General features: G+C 40.5%; 1 protein-coding gene across 4 annotated transcripts in view; it reads right to left on the reverse strand.

Annotated features, from left to right (window-relative positions):
* Positions 1 to 25,442, reverse strand: part of PAMR1 (peptidase domain containing associated with muscle regeneration 1) — a 98,474-nt gene that overhangs the window by 3,009 nt on the left and 70,023 nt on the right. For 3 of the 4 annotated variants that reach the window (NM_001282675.2, NM_001282676.2, NM_001001991.3), the window contains 3 exons: positions 6,646 to 6,858; positions 4,792 to 4,858; positions 1,068 to 1,300 (listed from right to left, as the gene is read on the reverse strand). In NM_001282675.2, the coding sequence (NP_001269604.1) occupies positions 1,068 to 1,300; positions 4,792 to 4,858; positions 6,646 to 6,858 (513 nt within the window). Of the gene's footprint in view, positions 1 to 1,067; positions 1,301 to 4,791; positions 4,859 to 6,645; positions 6,859 to 17,052; positions 17,104 to 25,442 lie in introns of all 4 variants that reach the window. The other variant, NM_015430.4, reaches the window with a different exon arrangement.

Raw genomic sequence — 25,442 nt, forward strand, 5'->3', positions numbered from 1 at the left:
ACTCAGACTTTGCCATCCAAAGGAGAATGTGTCACTTAACCAGAGAGCACAAATCTGGAAAGGTGAACTGTATGGGCATGATGACCACTAAGATAAGTAACCCAGTTTTCTTCTGCATTTAAATATTAATCAACCCACCCTGACATGGCTGGCTATAAAGTCTAGGATTTGCAGTCAAATGAAACCTGAGTTCTGATCCCAGGCACTTACTATCAATAGAACTTTGGGCAAGTTGTCTAATCTTTTAGAGCCTCTGTCTTCTTGCCTGTAAAATGGATAGAACAATAATAATGGTCTCACAGAGCTCTTGAGGAGATTAAATGAGATGGTACATGCAAACAAACTCAAAATATCATGACTATCCTCATAGTCATGACCACAATGAACTAAATCATATTGTTCTCCTTTCGCAAAGAGGATGGGGAAGGCAGCTTAGTAAATGCAGGCCCCTAATCCGGACACTTTGACATATTATCTCAGTACTCATCATCATAACCTTATGATGTAATTAATACCTCATTACATTTTTTATTTTTATTTTTTTATATTTTCAGTAGAGATGGGGTTTCACCATGTTGGCCAGGCTGGTCTCGAGCTCCTGACCTCAAATGACCCACCCACCTTGGGCTCCCAAAATGCTGAGATTACAGGCATGAGCCACCGGTGCCCAATCTAATACCTCATTGCTTAATAACAAGTACCTAATTAGTATCACTGGGTGATGAGTGTAAAAATTGGGGCTTAAACAGGGTAGCCAAGATTATATAACTTGAGGCCCTCTGGCACCTTTAACCCCTTTCCCCACTTGGTGACTTAATGACCATTTTTTCCAAGTAAATATGATAGAATCACCCAAGAACGCATGCCTCTAAGATTTAGTGAGTCAATTTCTCCTGGGTAGTAAGGTTAAGCCAAAGGAAAAAAAAAGCTCTAACTATGGAATTTCAGATATCACCAAACTAGAGAAAGCACTGGAGATGCTCTCCCAAAAAGTAGGGTTAATGGTTTTTCTCAGGCAGTCATGAAAGATTGAGCATGCTCAAGCCCAAGAATGAGCCTTGACTCACTAGGGATGCAGGATGGTGCCCGCCCACTCCACTTCCCAGTCCTCAGACATGTCCTCCTGCTGCTGCCCAGGCGGCGGTAGAAGGGTGAGATGCACTCATACTGGAGCTGGGTATGCAGATGTTGGTATCCCATGGGCAGATCTCCAAAGGGAAGGGCTGGCTTCTTGGTAGGGGCACTCTGCAGTTTCTGCTTGCTGAAGGCCGCTGAGTATAGCTGGTGTAATGGTGTCTCCCTGGGTCAGGAAACATGGGCCCAGAGAAAGAGCAGGGTGAGAGAAAGTCACTGTGGCCTCTTTAGCATTCATGCCATGTCCCATGTAGATATTTGTTTACAGAAACAGAAAAAATCTCTGTCTCTGTCTCTCTCTATCTCTCTCTCTGTCTGTCTGCCTTTTGAGGCAGGGTCTCCCTCTGTCCCTCACTCCAGGATGGAGTGTAGTGATGCGATCTTGGCTCACTGCAACCTCCACCTCCTGGGTTCAAGCAATTCTTGTGCCTCAGCCTCCTGAATAGCTGGGATTACAGACATGCAACACCACGCCCAGCTAATTTTTGTATTTGTAGTAGAGATGGGTTTTCATCATGTTGTCCAGGCAGATCTTGAACTCCTGGGCTCAAGCAATCCACTCACCTTGGCCTCCCAAAGTGCTGGGATTACAGGTGTGAGCTACGCCACCCAGCCAAAAATGGCTATCTCATTCTGTGTCTCTCTGTTTCTCTCTTTCTGTCTCTCTGTTTCTCTCTCTCTCTCTGTCACACACACACACACACACACACACACACACACACTTTGCCTCTCCCACTGAGCAAATTCTCTTGTATACTTCAATCTTCATTTTATGTCTCCATGTCTATTACTGGCATGATTCCAACTGCTTAAGATTTTAACCAAAGACAATAATACCTGGCATAATAGCTGCTATCCAAAGGTACATTATACATGCACACACAAAGAAATTAATTGCAACATTAAACAAAAAAGGGAGTTAAATTGAATGAGAGAAATGTAGACATTTTTTTCCTCCAAACATTATCATAATGGGGCAATATTAGGAATTGACTCAAACTAAACTGTGTTGATACAGTAGCTTGATTTAGCAATTAGCAGGTGTAATTAGTACACCTCAGAGAATAGAACTTTCTCTCAGGGCGCATTGATCGGGAGAAATATGAAGCATTGCATATAAATGGGAAAAGGGGATATTAAATGAGCCCTGAAGTTGGAGCCCTCAGAGACCACTCAGGGATTCTTGGGGAAGATGTGCACACACTCTGCAGTTTGTGTTCATTTTATGTTGGCACCTAATGACTGTCACCTGAAAAGTTGAAAGTCCTTTAGGAATCTATGTTTTCATCCCTGTTTAATGAATGGACAAAGGAAGTGCAGAGAGGCAAGTGGAAGTACGCAGAGGCACGCAGTAAAGAAACTTGGTACCCAAGGCAGTGCTTACCAGTCACAATTTCCACCCTGGTGTCCCCCCAATACCAATATATCATCACAAGAAATCTATTTCATATACAGTGCTTGGCTCAGAGCAAATATTCCAATCCTCTTGGTTTCATTCAACAAATCTTTAGCTCATGTTTATAATGAGGTCTGTAGCTCAGGGAGCTCCTGAACTTGCAAACAAACTCCTCCCTTGGCTATGGAAGGTCTACACTGTCGTTGGGGGCTTCTGGATGAGGAGGTGGCTGCTGGAGATAGGGATACCCTCCACTTCAGCTGCCTGTCTTCCCAACAGATACTTAAAACCAAGTTTCAGCCTTGCTTTTTCATTTACTTGAGAAACCCGGCACTTTGCCACCTAACCTCCCATTAATATTGCTTTAAAAATAGGAAGCCCAGTAGTCTTTCTGAATAGTGCAGGGGCCCGTCTACAGCATGTGTCTTTGGGAAGAACAGGTTGATCCCACTTAGTGGAGAGTCCAGCCCAGGGAAATCACACAGATCAGGAAAGAGGGCAGAATTTGAATTTCACTGCCACCGTTTCCAAGGAAATGCCTTGCCCCTGAAAGGAAAAAGACAAAAATGGAAGGAGACAGCCTGAGGAGGGGTGAAAGACTGATGGATATTCTGACTTATGAATATTCCAGGGAACTTAGCTGTAGTCAATTTCAGTCACCGGAATTCACTGTTACTATTTCTAACAATAGGTGAGAAATCACTGTCCGATGAATTATGCGTGCAAGGTACTTTGCTACAGCCTTTACATAAGACTCAAAGTATAGTGCATACGGGAGCAGACCAGGAAGCCAGATACTGAATTTACATCCTGGCTTTGCCACTCTAGCAATGTGATGTTGGACAAGTTACTTAACTTCTCTGAGCTTCAGTTTACCCCTCTGTAATATAAATGGTAATAAAATCTGTAATAAAATGGTGATAACAAAAATACCTACCTCAGAGGTTATAGTGAGGATTAAATGAACTAATGCATGAAAATACTCAGAAGAGCAACCGACACAGAGCAAACATGCAATAAATGTTAGCTATTAGGGTTGCATATAATCCTTGAAACAATCCCCAGAGACAGATTGCTATGATTATAACTACTTTTCAAAAGAAAAAACTAAGGCTCAGCAGGTTTAGGAACTTGCCCAAGAATACCCAGCACTAAAGACAGAGGCAGACTCAGGTCTTGAACCTTTGTTTGTCAATCCAATTCATTCATTCGATAAATACTTACTGAGTGCCTACTATGTGGCAGGTACTGTTTTAGGTACTAGAACTTTCAGCATGAACAAAACAGATAATGTTCCTGCACGTGTAACTTTCACATTTTGGGGAGGGTGAGGTTGACAGAAATTGAACAAATAAACCCTTAAAAATATGTAAGACAACAGGTGGAGAGAGATGCTAAGATAAAAACAGAAACAGACTACAGGCTAGAGAATTCTGGGTAAAGGGGTCCACTAGACAGTCAGGGTGAAGATAGGATTGCTATCTTTAAAAGGATATTTAGGGAAGATCTCTCTCTGTTAGGCAAAAACTGAGCAGAGAACTGAAGGAAGTGAGGCAATAAGCCTGAGATCTTGTGGAAGCAGGCTCCAGACAGAAGGAGCCACAGTGTAGTTTCCAAAGCAGAACTGTGCTTGGAGTGATAGAGGAAAATCAAGGAGGCCCGTGTAGCTGAGTGGAGAGAGTGAGGAAGAGAATGTAGAAGAAATGAGTAGAAAGGGGCTACTCCCTCCCCACCAGGTGGACCCCACCTTTGTCTTCCCAGGAGGAAGGTTGAGCATACCAGAGGGGCTCACATCCTTCTGCATGGCTGGTCATTTGTCTCTAGTTCTTGGGCTCCCCCAGCCTGCCTCATCTCACTGGTTACCTCCAAGCATATCTTCCTAAATTATAGCTGACTGTGTTTAACAGAAATGTCATCTTCCTAGAAGCTACCATAACAAGTACATAGTAATTTCAGGAAGACTCAAGGATTCAAGTCCATTTTCTCAAAGATCATCTGAAAGTCTTGCTTTCCACCGGTCATCTACTTTCCCACGATCCAGTGAAATTTGTACATCTTCCAACAGTTGCTACCTCTTGGCTAAAGGCAGCTGGCTAATAAGCCTCCATCTAACAAGCCCTATTATTTCATGACCAGTTAGCACTAAATGTCCCTAAGAAACCTCAAACTGACTATCTTTGGCCAAACACAAGTGGGGAAGGGGAATGGAAGGGGAAATACTCATTAGCCTTCAGGGCAGAGTGCAGGTGTTTTGACCTCACCTTGACTGAACCTGCATCGGAAGAACTCTCCTTCTCACCAGGTCTGAAATCTTTGGTTCTCGGCAGGCTAGAAATAAAAAAGACAATGCTGCATGATCCTTTTCCATATTCACTGTTCATATCATTCAGTTCAGATTCATACCTGACCCCCACTTCTGGACACCAGGTGCCCATTCCCCAGGCTCTCAGAGGCAAGACATGTCAGCCAAGCTTGAACATCTCACTTTACAAAAGAGCTTGGTGCATTTCATCTTGATTGACAGCACCCTCTGAAGAATCCAAGAAGAGCAGATGCCTCTGAAAGGCTGCCCCACCTGAGTGATTTGGGACAATGGCATCATAGATTAGGATCATCTGTTCATGTGAATGTAATTAGCAAACTTGATCAAAATGGAATAAAAGTCAAAGTGAAGGTTCTAAAACATAGCCCACATGGGGAATTAGAAGGTTCTCTTTTGACACCAGACAGCAGTGTCAACCATAGATAAGTCTTGGAAAACTGATTCCTCCATGTTCTTTCTCTGCTGTTAAGGCCCCTAACAATCACTTGAGGGCAATTCAAAGCCCAGTTTAATTTTGTTGAAGTCTCTCTTTCTTCAAGAATGAAAAGGAATCCTTCCCATCTCACTTTCCCAATCAGGCAGCCAACATTCATCTAATTAGCAACTTAGAGAACTTTGGTTGTATTAATTTGTAAGAGAAGACTGGACAAAAATCTCCAAGGACATATGTGACACCGTTCCCATACTTAATGAAATAAAAATCAGAATTTGTGCTGGTGGGGATGAAGGTCGCTTCTGGCTAAAGTCTAAAGTGATTTATTCCTTTCACAAACCATTCCCTTTCATTCCTTTTCCCATGATTCAGGTTGTTGACAAACACCCAGAAGGCAAAGTGGAGGATTAAGACAATTATCCGGATAATCTAGGACAAGGACATGTTTTCTTCCCAGTAAACAGCCAGATCATTGTGGCCTGCCCCCAAATAGAGAGGATGTTAACCTGAAGCAACTAGTGAATCAATTCAGTGAGAAACTATGCATCCCCACTGCCAATGGGGAAGGTTCAAACTTCTCTATACAATATTCCACTTTTCTGTCCAACCTACATATTTAAGTTTACCCCTTGATTCCCAGATTGCCTCACTTTGAGTTTACCATGATGACTTCACTTCTGCCTACACCTCTTTTCTTTTCTGCTGTCTTCCATTTGGAATACCATCCCGACTCCTCTTCACATCTACAAATCCTCTCCAGCTTTCCAGACTGGCTCCAGTCCTACTGGATTCATGCAATTGTCCCTATTTCAGGAATGCTGATCTCTCCTTTTGCTGAACTTACACCACTCATCTCTTCCTATAACTATCCCTTGAATGTACAAGGGTTTACTCTCTGTCTTTGTTTTTAAACATCTTAACATCTTCAATCCTCCCCCTCCATAGGCTGGCAGGGATGATGTGTCTATTTTGTTCTTTTATTTCTCACATCAACTTAATATTGCATAGAAAGTAGATAAGTGGAGCTATGTACATGCTTATACATTGCCTCAATTCTATACTTGGATTTGCATATATTAAACTCAGCCCTGTCATCTTTCCTAAACTGCTCTGATAACTACATTCCTCTTCTTGATCACCTCAAGGTGTTGTGATTAGGGAAAGCAGGTCCTCTTGAGGTCAAAAAAAAAAAGAAGCAAATATTTTTAGGATGGTTTCCAACCTCAGAGATATATGGTTTCAGAAAGGACTTAAAAGAGAAAGGCATTTTTCCAGGGGCTTAAAAACATGCAAAGGAGCTACCAAAAAGTCTAGCAACTTCATCAATGTCCGTAGACTTCAGAAACAATTGTAAGTTACCTTTTATGCAGATGGGCTGTTTCCCTGACCACTCTCCATTCTGCTGGCAAGTTCTTTTCTCATTGCCACTAAGAACATAGGAGTTGTTACAAAAGAAAGACACCACGGTGCCAATTTTAGCATGGCGTCCGTTGATAAGCCCAGGGCCCCCTGTTATTTTCTGGTACCCATTGACTGGGCCCCCAGGGTCTGAGCAGTTTCTTTCTTCAAGGACTAAAAGAAAGTAAAAGAAAAGGAGAATTGTTAAAAGTCTGAGTTATTCCATTTTAGAATAGAATCTTTCATGTTTCATTGAACTAAAAATACAATGATATAGGATCTGGTGCTCAAAAGAATTACTAAAATAAATCTCATAATAGAAAATTCATGTACTAGACATGTATTTCCCCTGTTTTCATAATTTATTCTTAAATTGAAAAATCTCATTCTATATATAAATAAATTTGATGCCAAATCTGGCTCTTATATCATCTTGTCCATTTCTTTCTCAAACTGTTGGAACTAGGCAGCCCTGAGTAAAATAAATATCTCACCTAAATTTTATTATCGGTATACAAGGATTATTGTTTTTCAGTGTTGTTGTATTATCTCCTTCATTCTTTAAAGCTTGGGCAATTAAAAACTATTCCATTTCCTATTTGTATTGTACCCAGAAAGTAGAGCTGCTTAGAAATAAGAGTACATACATAAAGTGAATTTAGATTTTATATTTAATCTCTAGGAAAATAAGTGTATTGAAAGTTATAGTTAAAAATACTACAGAACAATATAATTGTAGAGATACAATAAATTTCCCTTGATCTCCAAATATAACTTTCCATCTAAGTATTTGATATTCATTACAGAGGTATTTCTATTCTTTGAGTCCTGTTGAATGGCTATTAAAGTAGAAATGGCATCAGCAGCTATTCTGAGCACTAAACAGGATTTTTAGATATATTCTGGAAATATTCTATCAGATAGGTAACATATTTCTCTCAAATAGATTATGACACTACTGAATATGACTTGCCTAAGGAAGCCGAGCTCCCATAGAATTCAAACTTCTACTACTTGATTTGGGTACCAATCACTCTATCAACCTATCAGCCTCCCTACTTTCTTTTTTCTTTTTTTTTCTTTTTCTTTTTTTATTTATTTATTTATTTTGAGACATGGTCTCACTCCGTCACCCAGGCTGGAGTACAGTGGCGCAATCTTGGCTCACTGCAAACTCCATCCCCTGGGCTCAAGTGATCCTCCCACCTTAGGCTACTGAGTAGCTGGGACCACAGGCACACACCAGCTAATTTTTGTATTTTTAGTAGAGATGGGGTTTCACCATGTTGCCCAGGTTGGTCTTGAACTCCTAAGCTCAAGCTGTCCTCCCACCTTGGCCTCCCAAAGTGCTGGAATCACAGGTGTAAGCCACCATAACTGACCTTAGTTTCTTTTTTTTAATATAAATAATTTCAACTTTTATTTTAGATTCAGGGTGTACATGTGCAGAATTATTACCTGAGTATATTGCATTATGCTGAGCTTTGGGGTACAATTGATCCTGTCACACAGGCATTGATTATAATATCCAGTAGTTCTCAACCCTTGCCACCTTTTCTGTCTCCTCTTCTAGTAGACTCCCTGGTTTCCTTAAAATCATTTATTCTAAGACACAGACAGGCTCATCCCTATAAAACAGTCTCTGTGCAATGCAACTGTGCTTTTTTTTTTTCCTTCCTTCTTTTTATTTTTATTTTATTAAGCTCCGGATACAGGTGCAGGATGTTCAGGTTTCTTACATAGGTAAACGTGTGCCATGGTGGTTTGCTGCACCTGTCAATCCATCACCTAGGTATTAAGCCCCACATGCATTAGCTGTTTATCCTGATGCTCTCCCTCCCCTCACAACCCCCTGATAGGCCCCAGTGTGTGTTATTCCCCTCCCTGTGTCCATGTGTTCTCATCATTCAGCTCCCACTTATGAGTGAGAACATCCAGTGTTTCGTTTTCTGTTCCTGCATTAATCTGCTGAGGATAATGGCTTCTAGCTTCATCCATGTCCCTGCAATGGATATGATTTTGTTCCTTTTTATGGCTGCATAGTATTCCATGGTGTATCATGTACCACATTTTCTTTATCCAGTCTATCATTGATGGTCATTTGGGTTAATTCCATGTCTTTGCTATTGTGACCAGTGATGCAATGAACATACATGTGCATGTATCTTTATAATAGATTTATATTCCTTTGGGTATATACCCAGTAATGGGATTGCTGGGTCAAATGGTATTTCTGGTGCTAGATCTTTGAGGAATCACCAAATTAGTTCAATCACCTTGAAATAATTTACATTCCACCAGCAGTGTAAAAGTGTTCCTATTTCTCCACAGCCTTGGCAGCATCTGTTGTTTCTTGACTTTTAAATACTCGCCATTGCGACTGGCATGAGATAGTATCTCGTTGTGGTTATTTACATTTCTCTAATGATCAGTGATGTTGAGCTTTTTTCAAATGTTTGTTGGCTGCATAAATGTCTTTAAAATTCATAAGGAAGCAAAAAGACCCCATATAGCCAAGACAATCCTAAGCAAAAAGAACAAAGCTGGAGGCATCATGCTAACTGACTTCAAATTATACTATGAGGTTATAGTAACCAAAACAGCATGGTACTGGTACAAAACCAGTACCTTTGAGAAGTGTCTGTTCATGTCCTTGGCCCCCTTTTTAATGGGATTTTTTTTTCTTGTAAAGTTGTTTAATTTCCTTGTAGACTCTGGATATTAGACCTTTGTCAGTTGGATAGGTTCCAAAACTTTTCTCCCATTCTGTAGGTTGTATGTTCACTCTGATGATAGTTTATTTTGCTGTGCAGAAGCTCTGTAGTTTAATTAGATCCAGTTCGTCAATTTTTGTTTTTGTTTCAATTGCTTTTGACGTTTTTGTCATGAAATCTTTGCCTGTGCCTATGTTGTATGGTATTGCCTAGATTTTCTTCTAGGCTTTTTATAGTTTTGGATTTTACATTTCAATCATTTTTCCATCTTGAGTTAATTTTTGTATAAAGTGTAAGGAATGGGTCCAGGTTCAATTTTCTGCATATGCCTAGCCAGTTCTCCCAGTACCATGTATTAAACAGGGTATCCTTTCCTCATTGCTTGTTTTTGTCAGGTTTGTCGAAGATCAGATGGTTGTAGATGTGTGGTCTTATTTCTGAGGTCTCTGTTCTGTTCCATTGGTCTATGTGTCTGTTTTTATACCAGTACCATGCTGTTTTGGTTACTGTAGCCTTGTATAGTTTGAAGTTGGTTAGTGTGATGCCTTCAGCTTCATTCTTTTTGCTTAGGATTGTCTTGACTATATGGGCTGTTTTGTGTTTCCTTGTGAATTTTAAAATAGTTTTTTCTAATTCTGTGAAGAATGTCAATGCTAGTTTGATGGGAATATCATTGAATCTATAAATTACTTTGGGCAGTATGGCCATTTTCACAATATTGATTTTTCCTATCCATGAGCGTGGAATGTTTTTCCATTTGTTTGTGTCCTCTCTGATTTCCTTGAGCAGTGGTTTGTAGTTCTCCTTGAAGAGATCTTTCACTTCCCTTGTTAGCTGTATTCCTAGGCATTTTATTCTCTTTGTGGCAATTGTGAATGGGAGTTCATTCATGATTTGACTCTCTGCCTGTCTGTTGTTGATGTATAGGAATGCTTATGATTTTTGTATATTGATTTTGTGTCCTGAGACTTTGCTGAAGTTGCTTATCAGCTTAAGAAGCTTTTGGTCTGAGACGATGGGGTTTTCTAGATATAGGATCATGCCATTCACAAACAAAGAAAATTTGACTTCCTCTCTTCCTGTCTGAATACACTTTATTTCTTTCTCTTGCCTGATTGCCCTGGCCCGAACTTCCAGTACTGTGTTGAATAGGAGTGATGAGAGAGGGCATCCTTTTCTTGTGCCAGTTTTCGATGGGAATGCTTCCAGCTTTTGTCCATTCAGTATGATATTGGCTGTGGGTTTGTCATAAATGGCTTTTATTTTGAGGTATGTTCCTGCTTTACCTAGTTTATTGAGAGTTTTTAACATGAAGGGATGTTGAATTTTATCAAAGGCTTTTCTGTGTCTATTTAATCATGTTTTTTCATCTTTAGTTCTGTTTATGTGATGAATTATGTTTATTGATTTGCAGATGTTGAACCAGCCTTGCATCCTGAGGATAAAGCCAACTTGATCGTGGTGGATAAGCTTTTTGATGTGCTGCTGGATTTGGTTTGCCAGTATTTTATTGAGGGTTTTTGCATTGATGTTTATCAGGGATATTGGCCTGAAGTTTTGTTTTTTTGTTGCATCTCTGACAGGTTTTGTTATCAGGATGATGCTGGCCTCATAAAATAAGTTAGAGAGAAGTCCCTCCTTTTCCATTGTTTTGAATAGTTTCAGAAGAAATGGTACCAGATCCTCTCTGTACTTCTGGTAAAATTCAGCCATAAATCCATCTGGTCCTGGGCTTCTTTTGATTGGTAGGCTATTAATTACTACCTCGATTTCAGAACTAGTTATTGGTCTATTCAGGGATTCAAATTCTTCCTGGTTCAGTCCTGGGAGGGTGTATGTGTCCAGGAATTTATCCATTTATCCTAGATTTTCTAGTTTATTTGCATAGAGGTGTTTATAGCATTCTCTGATAATTGTTTGCATTTTTGGGGTTAGTGGTGATATCCCCTTTATTATTTTATATTGTGTCTATTTGATTCTTTAATTAGTCTCTCTTTTCTTCTTTATTAATCTAGCTAGCTATGTATTTTATTAATTTTTATTCAAAAAACCAGCTCCTGGATTAGTTGATTTTTGGAAAGATTTTTTGTGTCTCTATCTCCTTCAGTTCTGCTGTGATCTTGGTTATTTCTTGTCTTCTGCTAGCTTTGGAGTTTGTTTGTTCTTAGTTCTCTAGTTATTTTAGTTGTGATGCTAGGATATCAATTTGAGATCTGTGTAGATTTTTGATGTGGGCATTTAGTGCTATAAATTTTCCTCATAACATTGCTTTAGCTGCATCCCAGTGATTCCGGTATGTTGTCTGTTTGTTCTCATTGGTTTCAAAGAACTTCTTGATTTCTGCCTTAATTTCATTATTTACCCAGGAGTCGTTCAGGAGCAGGTTGTTCAATTTCCATATAATTGTGTGGTTGAGTGAGTTTCTTAATCTTGCATTCTAATTTAATTGTGCTGTGGTCTGGGAGACAGTTTGTTATTATTTCAGTCCTTTTGCATTTGCTGAGAAGTGTTTTACTTCCAATTATATGATCAATTTCAGAGTAAGTGCTATGTGGCACCAAGAAGAATGTTTATTCTTTTGTTTTTGGGTGGAGAGTTCTGCAGATATCTATCAGGTCCACTTGGTCCAGAGCTGAGTTCAAGTCCTGAATATCTTTGTTAATTTTCTGTCTTGATGATCTAATATTGACAATGGGGTGTTAAAGTCTCCCACTGTTTTTGTATGGGAGTGTAAGTCTCTTTTTAGGTCTCTAAGAACCTGTTTTATGAATCTGAGTGTTCCTGTATTGGGTGCATATATGTTTAGGATAGTAAGCTCTTCTTGCTTAATTGAACCCTTTATGATTATATAATGCCCTTCTTTATCTTTTTTGATATTGTTGGTTTAAAGTCTGTTTTGTCAGAAACTAGCATTGCAGCCCCTGCTTTTTTCTGCTTTCCTATTTGCTTGGTAATTTTTCCTCCATCCCTTTTTTTTTTTTTTTTTTGAGATGGAGTCTCGCTCTGTTACCCAGGCTGCAGTGCAGTGGTGCGATCTCGGCTCACTGCAAGCTCTGCCTCCCAGGTTCATGCCATTCTCCTGTCTCAGCCTCCCGAGTAGCTGGGACTACAGCCACCTGCTACCACGCCCGGCTAATTTTTTTCTATTTTTTAGTGGAGACAGGGTTTCGCCATGTTAGCCAGGATGGCTCGATCTCCTGACCTCATGATCTGTCCGCCTCGGCCTCCCAAAGTCCTGGGGTTACAGGCGTGAGCCATTGCGCCTGGCCTTCCTCCATCCTTTTATTTTGAGCCTTTCTGGGTCTTTGCATGTGAGATGGGTCTCTTGAACACAGCACACCAATGGGTCTTCACTCTTTATCCAGCTTGCCATTCTGTGTATTTTAATTGGGGCATTTAGCCTATTTACATTTAAGGTTAATATCGTTATGTGTAAATTTGATCCTGTCATCGTGATGCTCGCTGGTTATTTTGCAGACTTGTTAATGTAGTTGTTTCATAGTGCCTTGGTCTGTCTACTTCAGTGTGTTTTTGTAGTGGCTGGTGACAGTTTTTCCTTTCACTATTCAGTGCTTCCTTCAGGAGCTCTTGCAAGGCAGGCCTTGTGGTGACAAATTCCCTCAGCATTTGCTTGTCTGAAAGGGATTTTATTTCTCCTTCACTTATGAAGCTTAGTTTGCCTGGATATGAAATTCTGGGTTGGAAATTCTTTTCTTTAAGAATGTTGAATATTGGCCCCTAATCTCTTCTGGCTTGTAGGTTTCTCCTGAGATATCGACTGTTAGTTTGATGGCATTCCCTTTGTAGGTGACCTTGCCTTTCTCTCTGGCTGCCCTTAACATTTTTTCCTTCATTTCAACCTTGGAAAATCTGAGGATTATGTGTCTTGGAGTTGACATTCTTATGGAATATCTTGCTGGGGTTCTCTGGATTTCCTGAATTTGAATGTTAGCTTGTCTTTCTAGGTTGGGGAAGTTCTCCTAGATGACATCCTGAAGTATGTTTTCTAGCATGGCTCCATTCTCCCTGTCTCTTTCAGGTACCCCAATCAGGTTTGGTCTTTTTACATAATCCCATAGTTCTCAGAGGTTTGGTTCATTCCTTTTCATTTTTTTTTTCTCTAATCTTGTCTGCCTGTCTTATTTCAGCAGGATAGTTTTAATGTTCTGAGATTCTCTCCTCCATTTTGTCTATTCAGCTATTGATACTTGTGGTTGCATTGTGAAGTTCTTATGCTGTGTTTTTCAGCTCCATCAGGTCATTTATGTTCCTCTCTAGACTGATTATTCTGGTTAACAGCTCCTGTAGTGTTTTATCATGATTCTTAGCTTCTTTGCATTGGGTTAGAACTTACTCCTTTAGCTCATCAAAGTTCATTATTACTTACCTTTTGAAGCCTACTTCTGTCAATTAATCCATCTCAGCCTCAGCCCAGTTCTGTGCCATTGCTGGAGAGGTGTTGCAATCATTTGGAAGAGAAGAGACGCTCTGGCTTTTTAAATTTTCAGCACTTTTATGTTGATTTTTTCTCATCTTCATGGGTTTATCTACCTTCAATCTTTGAGGCTGCTGACCTTTGGATGAGATTTTTGTGGGGTCTTTTTTGTTGATGTTGTTGTTGCTTTCTGTTTTTCTTTTAACAGCCAGGCCCCTCTTCTGCAGGGCTGCTGCCGTTTGCTGGAGGTCCACTCCAGACTCTATTCACCTGGGTCCCTCCCACACCTGGAGATATCACCAGTGGAGGCTGCAGCAAAGCAAAGATGGCTGCCTGCTCCTTCCTCCAGGAGCTCCATCCCACAGGGGCACCAAACTGATGCCAGCTGGAACTCTCCTGTATGAGGTGTCTGGCCACCCTTGTTGGGAGGTTCCACCCAGTCAGGAGGCACGATCAGGGACCTGCTTAATGAAGCAATCTGGCTGCCCCTTGGCAGAGCAGGTGCACTGCACTGGGGGAAATCCCACTCGTCTGGACTACCAGCCACCTCAGAGCCAGCAAGCAGGAAAGACTAAGTGTGTTGAACAGGAGATCATGACTGCCTCCCCACAGAGGATCTGTCCCACTGGCCACCTCAGAGCCAGCAAGCAGGAAAAACTAAGTGTGTTGAACAGGAGATCATGACCGCCTCCCCACAGAGGCTCTGTCCCAGGAAGACTGGGGTTCTGTCCGTAAACCCCTGGCTGGAGTTGCCGGAATTCCTGAAGGGAGGTGCCACCCAGTGAGGAGGGATGGATCCAGGTCCCACCTAAAGAAGCAGTCTGGCCACAATCTGCCACAGCTACTGTGCTGCACTGTGAGGAATTCTTCTCTGTCCAAACCGTCCGATCTTTCTGGACCAGCAGGGGAAAATGGCCAACTGAAACCGCAGTGATGGCTGCCTCCCCTCCCCCTGGGAACTTGGTCATCTTAGGCAGTCTCCAGCCTGCTGCCACTGGCCACAACCCAAGCAGCCTCCGAGAGACTGCACAGCTCTGTGCTTGAGACCAAAGGCCCTGGTGGCATGGGCTCACAAGGGGATCTCCTCATCTGTGGGTTGCACAGATCCATGGCAAAATTGTGGTTTCCCTGGCAGGGTAGCACATCACTAACTGCCTCCTTTGGCTGGGGTGGGAGTTTGCCTTACTCCATGCAGCTCCCGGCTGGGCCATCACTCCACTCTGCTTTTCCTTGCTTTCCATGGGTCATGACAACCACCTAGTCAGTCTCAATGAGAGAACCTAGATACCTCAGCTGAAAGTGCAGGATTCACTTGCCATTTTCATTTTTCTCAGTGGGAGCCACAGGCTAGAGCTGCTTCTAATCAGCCATCTTGGCCCCCACAATTATGCATTTGATAAGCTTTCTTTCCTGTAACTGTCCCAATTGCCTTCCAAGAAACTTACTTGGCTGCCTCCAGGCAAAAAAAAAAAAAAAAAAAAAAAAAAAAAATCTCTATTCAGATAACACCTCTAAAATATTTGAGAATTAAAAATAAATAACTTTCCTATGTGCAACTTGGCAAGGCTGCAACAATTAGCCAAATCACCGGTTTGTCCACTCTAAGACCGTCCATAGACTATGCGTAAGTTAATCTCAATGACACTCTGTATGCCTTTGGACTATGTAATATCAGCATTTTTTTCTGGCAAATGAATCCAAAGCCCCCATTTTATTAATAAGTATAAAAAAGGGACCCCACTGAGTAAGCTGTTTAAAAATACTGTGATGGTATAAAAAGGGTAATGGGTTTCTTAATGCTTCAAGTGGACTCACAAAACTCCAGTGCTTACATTTTCAGAAATGCCTCCATGATGTGGGAGGAAAAGGCAGATAAAGCAGTCCATGTTGCTTCACTGATGGTGGTAGCTTCTAATAGCACAGATTCATTCATTCTGAAAATTGAGCTTAGTAAGCACCCACTGGGGCCCACAGACTGAAATTGTCTCAAAAACATAATATGTTATGCTTGAAAGTTTTATAAAATGGAATTCGTTGCAGACATAAAAATTGGGAGATTTCATTTAAAAATCTATATTATTCGTTTCTAACATAATTCAGATCTGAAATCCTGGGCCTGTATTCCCATATAGCAATAATCAACTGGAGTTGAAAAGTGTCTTTGCTTAGAAGAGAGCCCTATTCTTCACAGCCCCCAAGGGCTGCCTACTTCTAGCAGGCATGTGAATCTGCAGCCAATTAGCCTATTAAAGGGCTACAATTTGTGTAAATTAAGTGGAGCTCCCCATCGATTTTGACCATTGCTAGCTAGAGCTCATGGCCAAGAAAGATTGAGTGATATTTAAGACCAGTCTTGGAATACTGAGAGAAAATGAACTGTACTCTAGCCACATCTGCCTCAGCAGAGGATAAGAAATCCTTTCTATTGTTGGCTTTGACAGGTAAGCCTGACAGTTGGGTTTTTCTGCCCTTGGAAGGAAGTGCTTTCATGGTCCACTAGGCTCCCACTCTGTTACTTTCCAAATGCAGGGTTCTAATGGCTTGTAGCTCTACTATATTTAATGTGGATTTAACTAGCAGAAACTTTAGAGAGTTTTTGAGCCCTTGAAAGTAACAGAGATTGAGAACAATTTAGATCCTTTGTTTCTTTCACTAAACAGACTTTAAAAGAAGACTTCAAGAGAAACTGAATCAGGACATACAAACACCTCTGCCCAAGGAATATAGCTATATTTCCATAATGCTTAGATGTGTATTCTTTTATAATCTGGCATTTCTGAAATCAAATCACATGTGATGTGTACTTTTCATGTAGTATTTCCTTCCTCACAAACCCAGAAAAGCTATAATTAAATCAATGGTACAACTTTAACTTGATGAGATCTTAGAATGGAGAACTATGAGAACCATTATTTGGTTTTAAGTTATTGCTTACGGAATGTCATCAGGATAGAGCCAAGTGATGCTTCTGAGTTAGGATCCAATAGAAGGTACAATGTACTGAATGTGTGTGTCCCTCCAATATTCATATATTGAAATCCAAATCCCCAATATCATGGTATTAGGATGTGGGGCATTTGGGAGTAGATTAGTTCATGAGGGTGGAGCCCTCATGAACGAGATTAGTGACTTTGTAAAAAAGAACCCAGAGAGCTCTCCCACCCTCCTTCTGCCACATGAGGATACAGCAAGAAGTCAGCATCTGAAGCAAGCCCTCACCAGACAATGAATCTTCTGACGCCTTGATCTTGGACTTCCCAGCCTCCAGAACTGTGAGAAATAAATGTTTGTTGTTTAAGTCACCCAGTCTATGGTATTCTCTTGTAGCAGCCCAAACTGACTAAGACAGAAGGCAAGACTGAAAATCAAGAGAAATACAGACAATAGAAACACATTTATAAAGAATACAGATAATGTTGTTATCTAACACTACTCAAAAATAACTATGCTGAATATGTTCGAGGAAATAAAACAAGATTGAGCAGAAGACTGGAAACCTTAAAAAAATAAACAAAGGAAACACATGGAACTGAAAAGTATAATGGCAGGAATTTAAAGCTCAGTAGATAAGTTTAATAGCAAATCAGATACCACTGAAGAGTATTAGTAAACTAAAAGATGGCTTAAAAAAACTCAGAATGAAGCAAAAAGAGACAAAAAGATTTAAAATACATGGGAAAAAATAAGGGACATAGGGGATAGAGTGAGAAGGCTAAAAAATAAATGTAATTGGCATCCAAGAAAGAGAAGGGACAGAAAATGGAGTACAAATAATATGCAAAGAAATAATAGCTAAAATTTTTCCCATACTGGTGAAAGACATCAACCTACAGATTCACAAAGTTCAAAGCCAGCTAAATATGAAGCAGCCAAGGGTTGGGGGAGAAACTAGAACATACTTTAAAATAATTACAGTTATTATCTCTGGCTTATAACATTAAAAATAAATTTTGCTTCTTTATAATTTTTTCCAAAGTTCTATAATCAGAAAATGTGACTGTAAAATTTTGTTATTATTTTTGTTGTTTCTGGGGTTAAGTACCTATCAAGCAAAATGGCTTGGGTCTTCCCTGCCAAGTGTCTAAATCTAGCATTATTCAGTCTTTCATGCCTATTTTTATGTGTTCCCATAGTCTCACCACCCCATAAAAATCTCTTTAATATCTTGTCTAATCATAGAGTAATATAATTTTCTATGAAATTATTTAAATGAGTTTATTCACTAGACTCTAATGGAAAAAGAATGGCCTTCAGGATCAGATAGATATGGGTTCAGATAATCATTTGGTTCCCCAGTGTCCAGAGCAAGCGTATAGTAGGTGTTCAATAAATATTTGTTGGTGGGTGGAAGGGATAAAGGGTTAAATATATTCATTCTTCCACTTAATGAACTAGGGTTTGGAAAAATTACATAATGTCCCCAAGCCTTGCTCTTCTCATCTGTAAAGCAGGATAACACTTACCTGGTTGGGCTTGTTCTGAGAAGTAACTGAAATAGCACAGTTTCCTTTTCCCTTACTTGCCTTTGTTCACAAAGCACCCAACTGCCTTTAAATGCCAATTTCCCAAATATATCTTAAAGAAAACCCCACAGGGAAGTACAAAAGCCCATTGTTGGGCCTATTCAAACATAATGCAATATTCCACTCCATTTTCTGGGCTCCTGGTAATGTCTACCCACGACGGCCTTCCATACCTCATTCCAAGGTGTTGATCACACTTCTGGGTGCCAACCACGGTGTCTGTACATTCGTATCTTTTAATCCTGCACAATAAAGCCTTCAATTGCATCCTACATCAAACAACTACTCCCTTACCTCTCATTTATTTTCTGTACTTCCCAAAGCCACACTATCTCCTATGATGCTTTTTATGTGAATTCTAAGACTTGCCCTCCCAGTTTAGACATCTACCTGGTGGGTACATAGGCCATCTGCACCTCATCAGAGCTCCTCCCCAGGGTCAGATTTCAAAACAATCTTTTTTTCCTACTCATTCTCTTTTTAGAAACCTTTGTGTCTCGCCATTGAACTGATTCATGATTCTTTCCTATTTGAGTTTTTAATGAGTGTTTCATTTATCTTCAGTGGGATGGGTTTTTTTTGGTGCAAAGCCAAATGAGAATTTAAAATATTTGCATTTCTGGCCTGAAGGAGCATCAAGGTCCTGCTTCACTAAGTGAAATATTCTGTGATTAATAATAAATAGCACATTGCCATGCTACTTTCAGGACTCATCCTGGAGACAGAAACACACTAGGTTTAGCATGCCCTTACATGCTATTGCATGAACAAAAAATAGGAATCAAAGGTGCATTTCTCTGGGATATTGTTTCAGATAAATATTTAAAGAAAGACCTTTCTTATTTTTGTTTTTTTTCCTCCAGGCAACTGTATGAGGTGGTTCTCATGTAAACTGTCATGTCAGTTTACAGAAGCATATGTGATGGCTTTGGAATGGCTCTACAATGAACACTTAAGTCTCCCAGATTCTTTTGCCAGCTCAAGGCACCCATTCCTCAACTTCTACATGAGTGCTTTGCAGCTGAGAACCGGCACTTACAACCTTCAGAGGACTGCCCTTGGGCATGGCCACCACCCTGTACTTCATATGTGTACCTCATATGAGCTGAAAAATATCTAGGAGATTTTTGTCCCCCTAGGCCCACCCCAGGGTTGCCTGTAGGCAATGACTGATGGATATGGAAGTTTACAAGCCCAAACAGTGTTCCTGGAGGTGTAATTTATACCCCTCAGAGCCCATGAGATCAGGTTGAGTCTGGGAGTTCAGTTGAAAACACTCTTGCTTGATTCCATCCCCATTCTTATCTTGCTTCCCCAGCTCTGTTACTGGTTGATCCTGGGAGTGCTTCCTTTGATAAATCAGTTGGACCCAAGCACGTGACTCAGGGACTGCTTGGGGAAAAAACTAACCTGAGACAACTCTGCTGTTTTCTTAGCCCTAGACATCAAGGTCCCTCATGCCTTCCCTCAGTCTCACTCCTGGAGGGGATGATATCACAAAGAGGTAGCTGTCTTAACCCTGGGTATCAGGGTCTGTGTGCAGCACTCCTAGGCAGTGAAAAGATCTTGGGGAGTATGATTGGCCAAGCAAGTAGAGGCCAGGTCCTCGTGAGAGGACTTCCAACCTCCACAAATATGCTCGCCTTGGGCTCCAGGCCAGCCCCACACCAGCCAAGATGTTTTACCTGAAAGAATTAGGTAGTCTAAGACATTGGGCTTCCCTAACAAAACAGCATGTACCTAAAATCTGCCATGAGATGATTCCCTCTGATGATTTGGTGCTGTCTGTGTAAAGCAAGTAACCTTTTTACAAGTCTGGGGCACAGAGGAGGTCCCAAGAATGACAGCGACTGCCTTTTTCATGAGCCTGAATTACAGGTCTGAGAGATGGATTTTAGTGGATTCAAAGCAAGTAAAGTGACATCCTTTTCTCACCTATGTGACTGTCATACTCGACATAAAAGTAGCTGAGATGACCAGGTCCATAAATTCTATAGGAAGTGGACATGATGATAGTGATATCAGGGAGTAACTATATCAGGAAAATGTGGAGTTATTTTCAGGAAAAGTGGTTCCTCAGTACACACTCATGACACCATTTTCTATGCCCTCCAGTAAAATCAATAATATTAAATGTGTGAAAAGGAAGTCCATACTCTTCATTCCTAACCTGGGAGTGGAGGCCCCCTCCATATCCTCTGATAAACACAAAACTTAGGAGTAGATCCTAGCTGTGATGAGACAACAGACCTCTTCTTTCATTTATTGCTATCCACCAGTGTATGCCTGTCTATAATGAATGAATGAATCTAGAATTTTAATATGATACACCAGCCTTGCATGAATATATGTCTTTTCCTTTTGCTTAAGTCTCCAAGCCATAAGTTCAAAGTTGGAGATGAGAGCTACAAAAAGCCCCTAGAAGCCAAAGAGTTCAAGCACTGCTTTGCCTTTCAGAAGTCCAGCATGTCACACAGAATGATGAAGTGTTATTAACTATTGATTTGATTCATTTTCTTAGATCTTCACACATTTAATGAGTGCCTCCTCTGTGCCCAGCTGAATAAGCCATTAGAAGATGTTTTTCTATATGTTTAATATAGAAATTTTTTATTTAAACCCTGAAATAGAAGAGATGCCAGTTCAAGATATTCTACTAAGGTGCTTTATACTTCTCAAGGCTCTCTCTAGCTTCACTTAAACACTTAACAGAAAAAAAAAAAAAAAGATTTGGGGCTTTCCTTCCACTTACTTATTCCCCAGGTCAGATTTTTACCCAACACAATCTTTTTCAATCAAAAAAGAGAGTTAATAGTTCCAACTAGTACTTGAAGGGATGTCACTGCAGGAAATTCAATTTTACTTCTTTGGGCCAACTCAATTCATTCTGACCAGAAAAGGAGAAAGACAGAGAGAGAGCAAGAGTAGGGAGAATAAATACATATATAATTTTTTTTTCACTTGCACCAATTCTTACTAAGTGGCTAGTACCTTTCTTAACTTTGCTTCTATAATTACATCAGAGGATAAGTTGTGAACCAATGAATACAGTAAAGGTAACCATGGGTCCTTAGATGAATTTGAATGAGGTGCAGGGTCTCAGCAAATACTAGCCAACCCCAGAAGTTGACTGTAGTCGGATTGTAGCAAAGATTTCATCAGGTGCAATTAATTGCAGTGGGTTCATACCACTTAGCCTGCCGTGCTGTCTGAAAAGAAATTTCTTAATCTACAGGTAGAATGCTGAGTTAAACGGAACCAAATTCTAATTTAAATGCTTCTGCTGAGAATAATCATTGGAGATTTGTTGGAATTGGAGCTCCCAGTTTTATCCTATTTGTGTTCTCCCTGTGGTACTAGATAGAACTGTTGATGCAGAGATCACCATTTAACCAGGGCACATTTGTGTAGTTAATGCAGTGTGGACAATTGATCAGGGCACAATTACAAGAGATGAGACAATTAGAAGAGACCCAGAGGCACTTCTTTATGATAGGAGCAGCCATTTTCAAACATGCTGCATAGCATGTTTCAAACCCTTCAGTTTGAACAAACCCTTCAGAAGATACCAAATCCTCTGGGAAGTATTGTTGGCTCTCTCCACAAATAACACTGCAGTCTCCACTCACTCCCATGAACCTACAATGGACTAAACTTGCTCTTACACACAGAGAAGAGCTTGTGCATGTGCACACGTGTGTGTACAGAATATCAATTCTTAGATCTAACTTTTTTTTAAAATCAGCAATACAGATGATTCATATTTTGAGTATCCTTCAGATAATGCAACCCTAAAATATATGTTAGTCAGCATTGATCAAAGGCTTCTCTAATAGTTTAGAGAAACAACTAGATGGTGATCTACCTGACTGTGGTACTTAATTTTATGTGTCAACTAGACTGGATCATGAAATGCCAGATATCTTGTTAAGCATTATATCTGGGCATGTCTGTGAGGGTGTTTCTGGAAGAGATTGGTGTTTGAATTGGTAGAACGAGTAAAAAGGATTGCTCTCCCCCAGTGTGGGCAGGCATCATCCAATCTGTTGAGGGCCAGAATAGAATAAAAAGGTGCAGGAAGGGATAATTTGGGTTATCTCTCTGCCTGAATGCTTGAGGGGGAATCCATCTCTGCCCTCAGCACTCTTGGTTCTTAGGCCTTCAGATGCTTACTGAAGTCTACACTATTGGATCTCCAGCCTTCAAATTACACCACTGGCTTTCCTGGTCTCCAGCTTGTAGACAGCATATCATGGCACTTCTCAGCCTCCATAATTGTGTGAGCCAATACTTTGTGTGTATGTGTGTGTGTATACACATATTTATATAAATTCTATTAGTTCTGTTTCTTTAGAGAACCATGACTAATACAAAGCTGTAGACCTCTATTAAGTTAGCTCCTCAAGGAAACACCTTCATGAGGTGTCTTAGGTTGGGTTCTCCTAGAAGCCGCCTGTTCGACAAGGCTTTGAGTGCAAGTAGTTCATTTAGGTGACAATCTTAGGAAGAACCAACAGTGGAGTGAGGGAAATGAGATGGGGATTATTATAAATGAGAAAGGAGATAAGACTGCATTATCAAGGAGGTTACCACAGGGGATTACTGAGGCTGAATGATGTTCAGAAACTCTGGGAGACAGTGTGGAGCATGTCTCATCATTATCCTACTCACAGAGGAAGGGATATGAGTTATTACCTACCACTTGTCATTAATCATTTGTTGAAGGATGATGAGATGAACATTAACTCTTCATACCTCCCATTTGCCCACCTATAGGAGCCTGTGCACCCTGAGAGCCAAAGAAAGCCTCAGACAGGGTAGAAGGAGCATAAAAGTACAAGACAGCTGGGTTAGCATGCACAGAAATGGTAAACATAATCAAGTCCAGCTACCTTTTTCTTTTCAGGAAAGGGAGAATGATCTACTTTTTAGAAAGATATAATATTTGAAAAATCAACATTTCTATAATTTATAAAACTGAAGTGAACAACATTTTCTCAGCACCCATCCTTAGATAAGGGGAAGAAAGGAGTAGATGTTAGAATAAAATCAGCAATGGTTGCACCCCCAGATGAATGTGTGTTCATTCACTTTCTTTTAATCTCTATCCCATCTAATGCTCTATTTTTTTATTGTTCTTGTTCAGCTTCCAAATTATTTTATTTTACTTTAATTATTTGTACCCTGCTTGCTTTCAGAAAGAGTTTGCAGTGATTTACAAAACTATACATACAAAACATGTATTTCTTTTTTTGCAAATGTTATGTTAATGAAATATTTATGATTGCCAGATACCACCTGAGCTAAAAACCAAGTCAGGCAGGTACTATTCTGTTTCTCTGATATGAGCTGGGTTTTGGAGCTATAAGATTATCTGAGAGTTCCAGCAAAGGAAACAGATCCAGAGTCAGCAAAATTGATGACTGTCATCTAACTGGTAGTAAGGGCCAGGGATGGAGAGATGTTTGTCTCAATTCTTAGCATACTCTTGGCATCCGCCCATTGTCACTTGTCACCAAAATCAAGGAAACAACTTGTGACAGAATTTTGGTTCTGTTTAGAAAAGGCATTAACTTTCTCATCAGGGCATTGTTCATCCTGGAAATCTACTTAACATGAGGCCAGCTCTTACAGACAGCATCACATGGCCTCTCTTCTCTTCCTCATTTTTTCCTGTTCAGCTTATATTTGAGTTTTGTGTCTCTGGACCAAACCAAATATTTTTTACTCCCAGGAAGGTCTTCACCAACCAGGAATAATGACACCAACTGGTGATGTAATCCCCACTGAAAACTCTTTTGATCCCTTTCCAGCCAATGGAATTCTTCCCCCCTGATGTTTTCCAGCCCTCTGGGGGTGTGAATGAGAAATTCTCATTCTCTCTCTATGTGAAATTATGCTTGGATTGCACACACTGTTATTTTTTCATCCGGCAGCAATTTAGAGGCTGAGGCTTACAATTAGCTATTTGATCTTAATCAGTATTGTCCTTGGGCATGGTACACTATGTCTTTCGGATACCACTTTTCCGGTATTTGGATGGCCTATTTATTTAGACAGCTGAAACTGCCTGTGCCTAAGAGACAGGTCAACTTGGAAAATTTTTGAAAAGTCCTAGTCATTGTATTTCTTCTTCAAAATCAACCTGACACATTCCCATTTGACAGTGTAGATGGGTAGCCTATGTATGTGTTAGAAACTTCACCATCCTCTACTGAATCTGCTTGGTAACATTAGTTTTCTTGGGGCTTCCCCAAATCTCAGAAGATTTCTGCTTCAGCTCCTTGGGGGTGGGTGATAACTCTAAACTACTGGGGGAAATGTTCCCCAGTGGTATTCATAGCCAACTTCTCAAACTATAAGAAATGGCCTGAGCTGGGCATTTCTGTTCTGTTTAGCCTTGGGGATGAAGAGAATGAACTTGCAGAAGATTCCTCGGCTGCTAGGCACATTTGAGTCCTAGGAGATCCCACCCAGTTCCTGGCATACTGGAAGCATGTAATAACTTTCATCATCACCATCACTATTACCAAAAGCCTTGCTAGAAGAAGCTGTAGCTGGAAACTGCATGGCATGTAACATTCTTCTAAAGACTAGGAAAGGGCTAAGATTGGAATTGTTCCATAGCTTTGTCAAAAGGAGGGGAAAATATATACTGGATAGCCCTGCCTTATTTCCCCAGTGCCTGGTACCTCATAGACACTCAAAAATGTCTAGCTGGATGAATCTGTAAAGTGCAGGTAATCAAAGTATCTACTACATGGGAACATTGAGACAAATAAATGGGTCACGTCACATAAAGCCCAGAGCCTGGCCTATATTAACGATAGAGAGAATAATGACTATTGCTTTAGTACATGGATACCAACAAGAATACCTTGCATTTTGCAAAGAGGAAGCTTTCATTTTCTGACACAGGAGGAGGGACATGTAGTTAATGCCCTGCAAGGGGAGGGACAAGTGGTAAATGTCCCACAAGGCAGATACCTTTAAGGAAATGTGGGGTTCTATAACCATTGCCAACAGGCTGGTGTCTGTCTTGGGTCCCATAATGTCAGGGATACTTGTTTCCAACAGAAGTTAATT

Source organism: Homo sapiens, chromosome 11 (assembly GCF_000001405.40).
Source record: "Homo sapiens chromosome 11, GRCh38.p14 Primary Assembly".
NCBI classification, from domain to species: domain Eukaryota; kingdom Metazoa; phylum Chordata; class Mammalia; order Primates; family Hominidae; genus Homo; species Homo sapiens.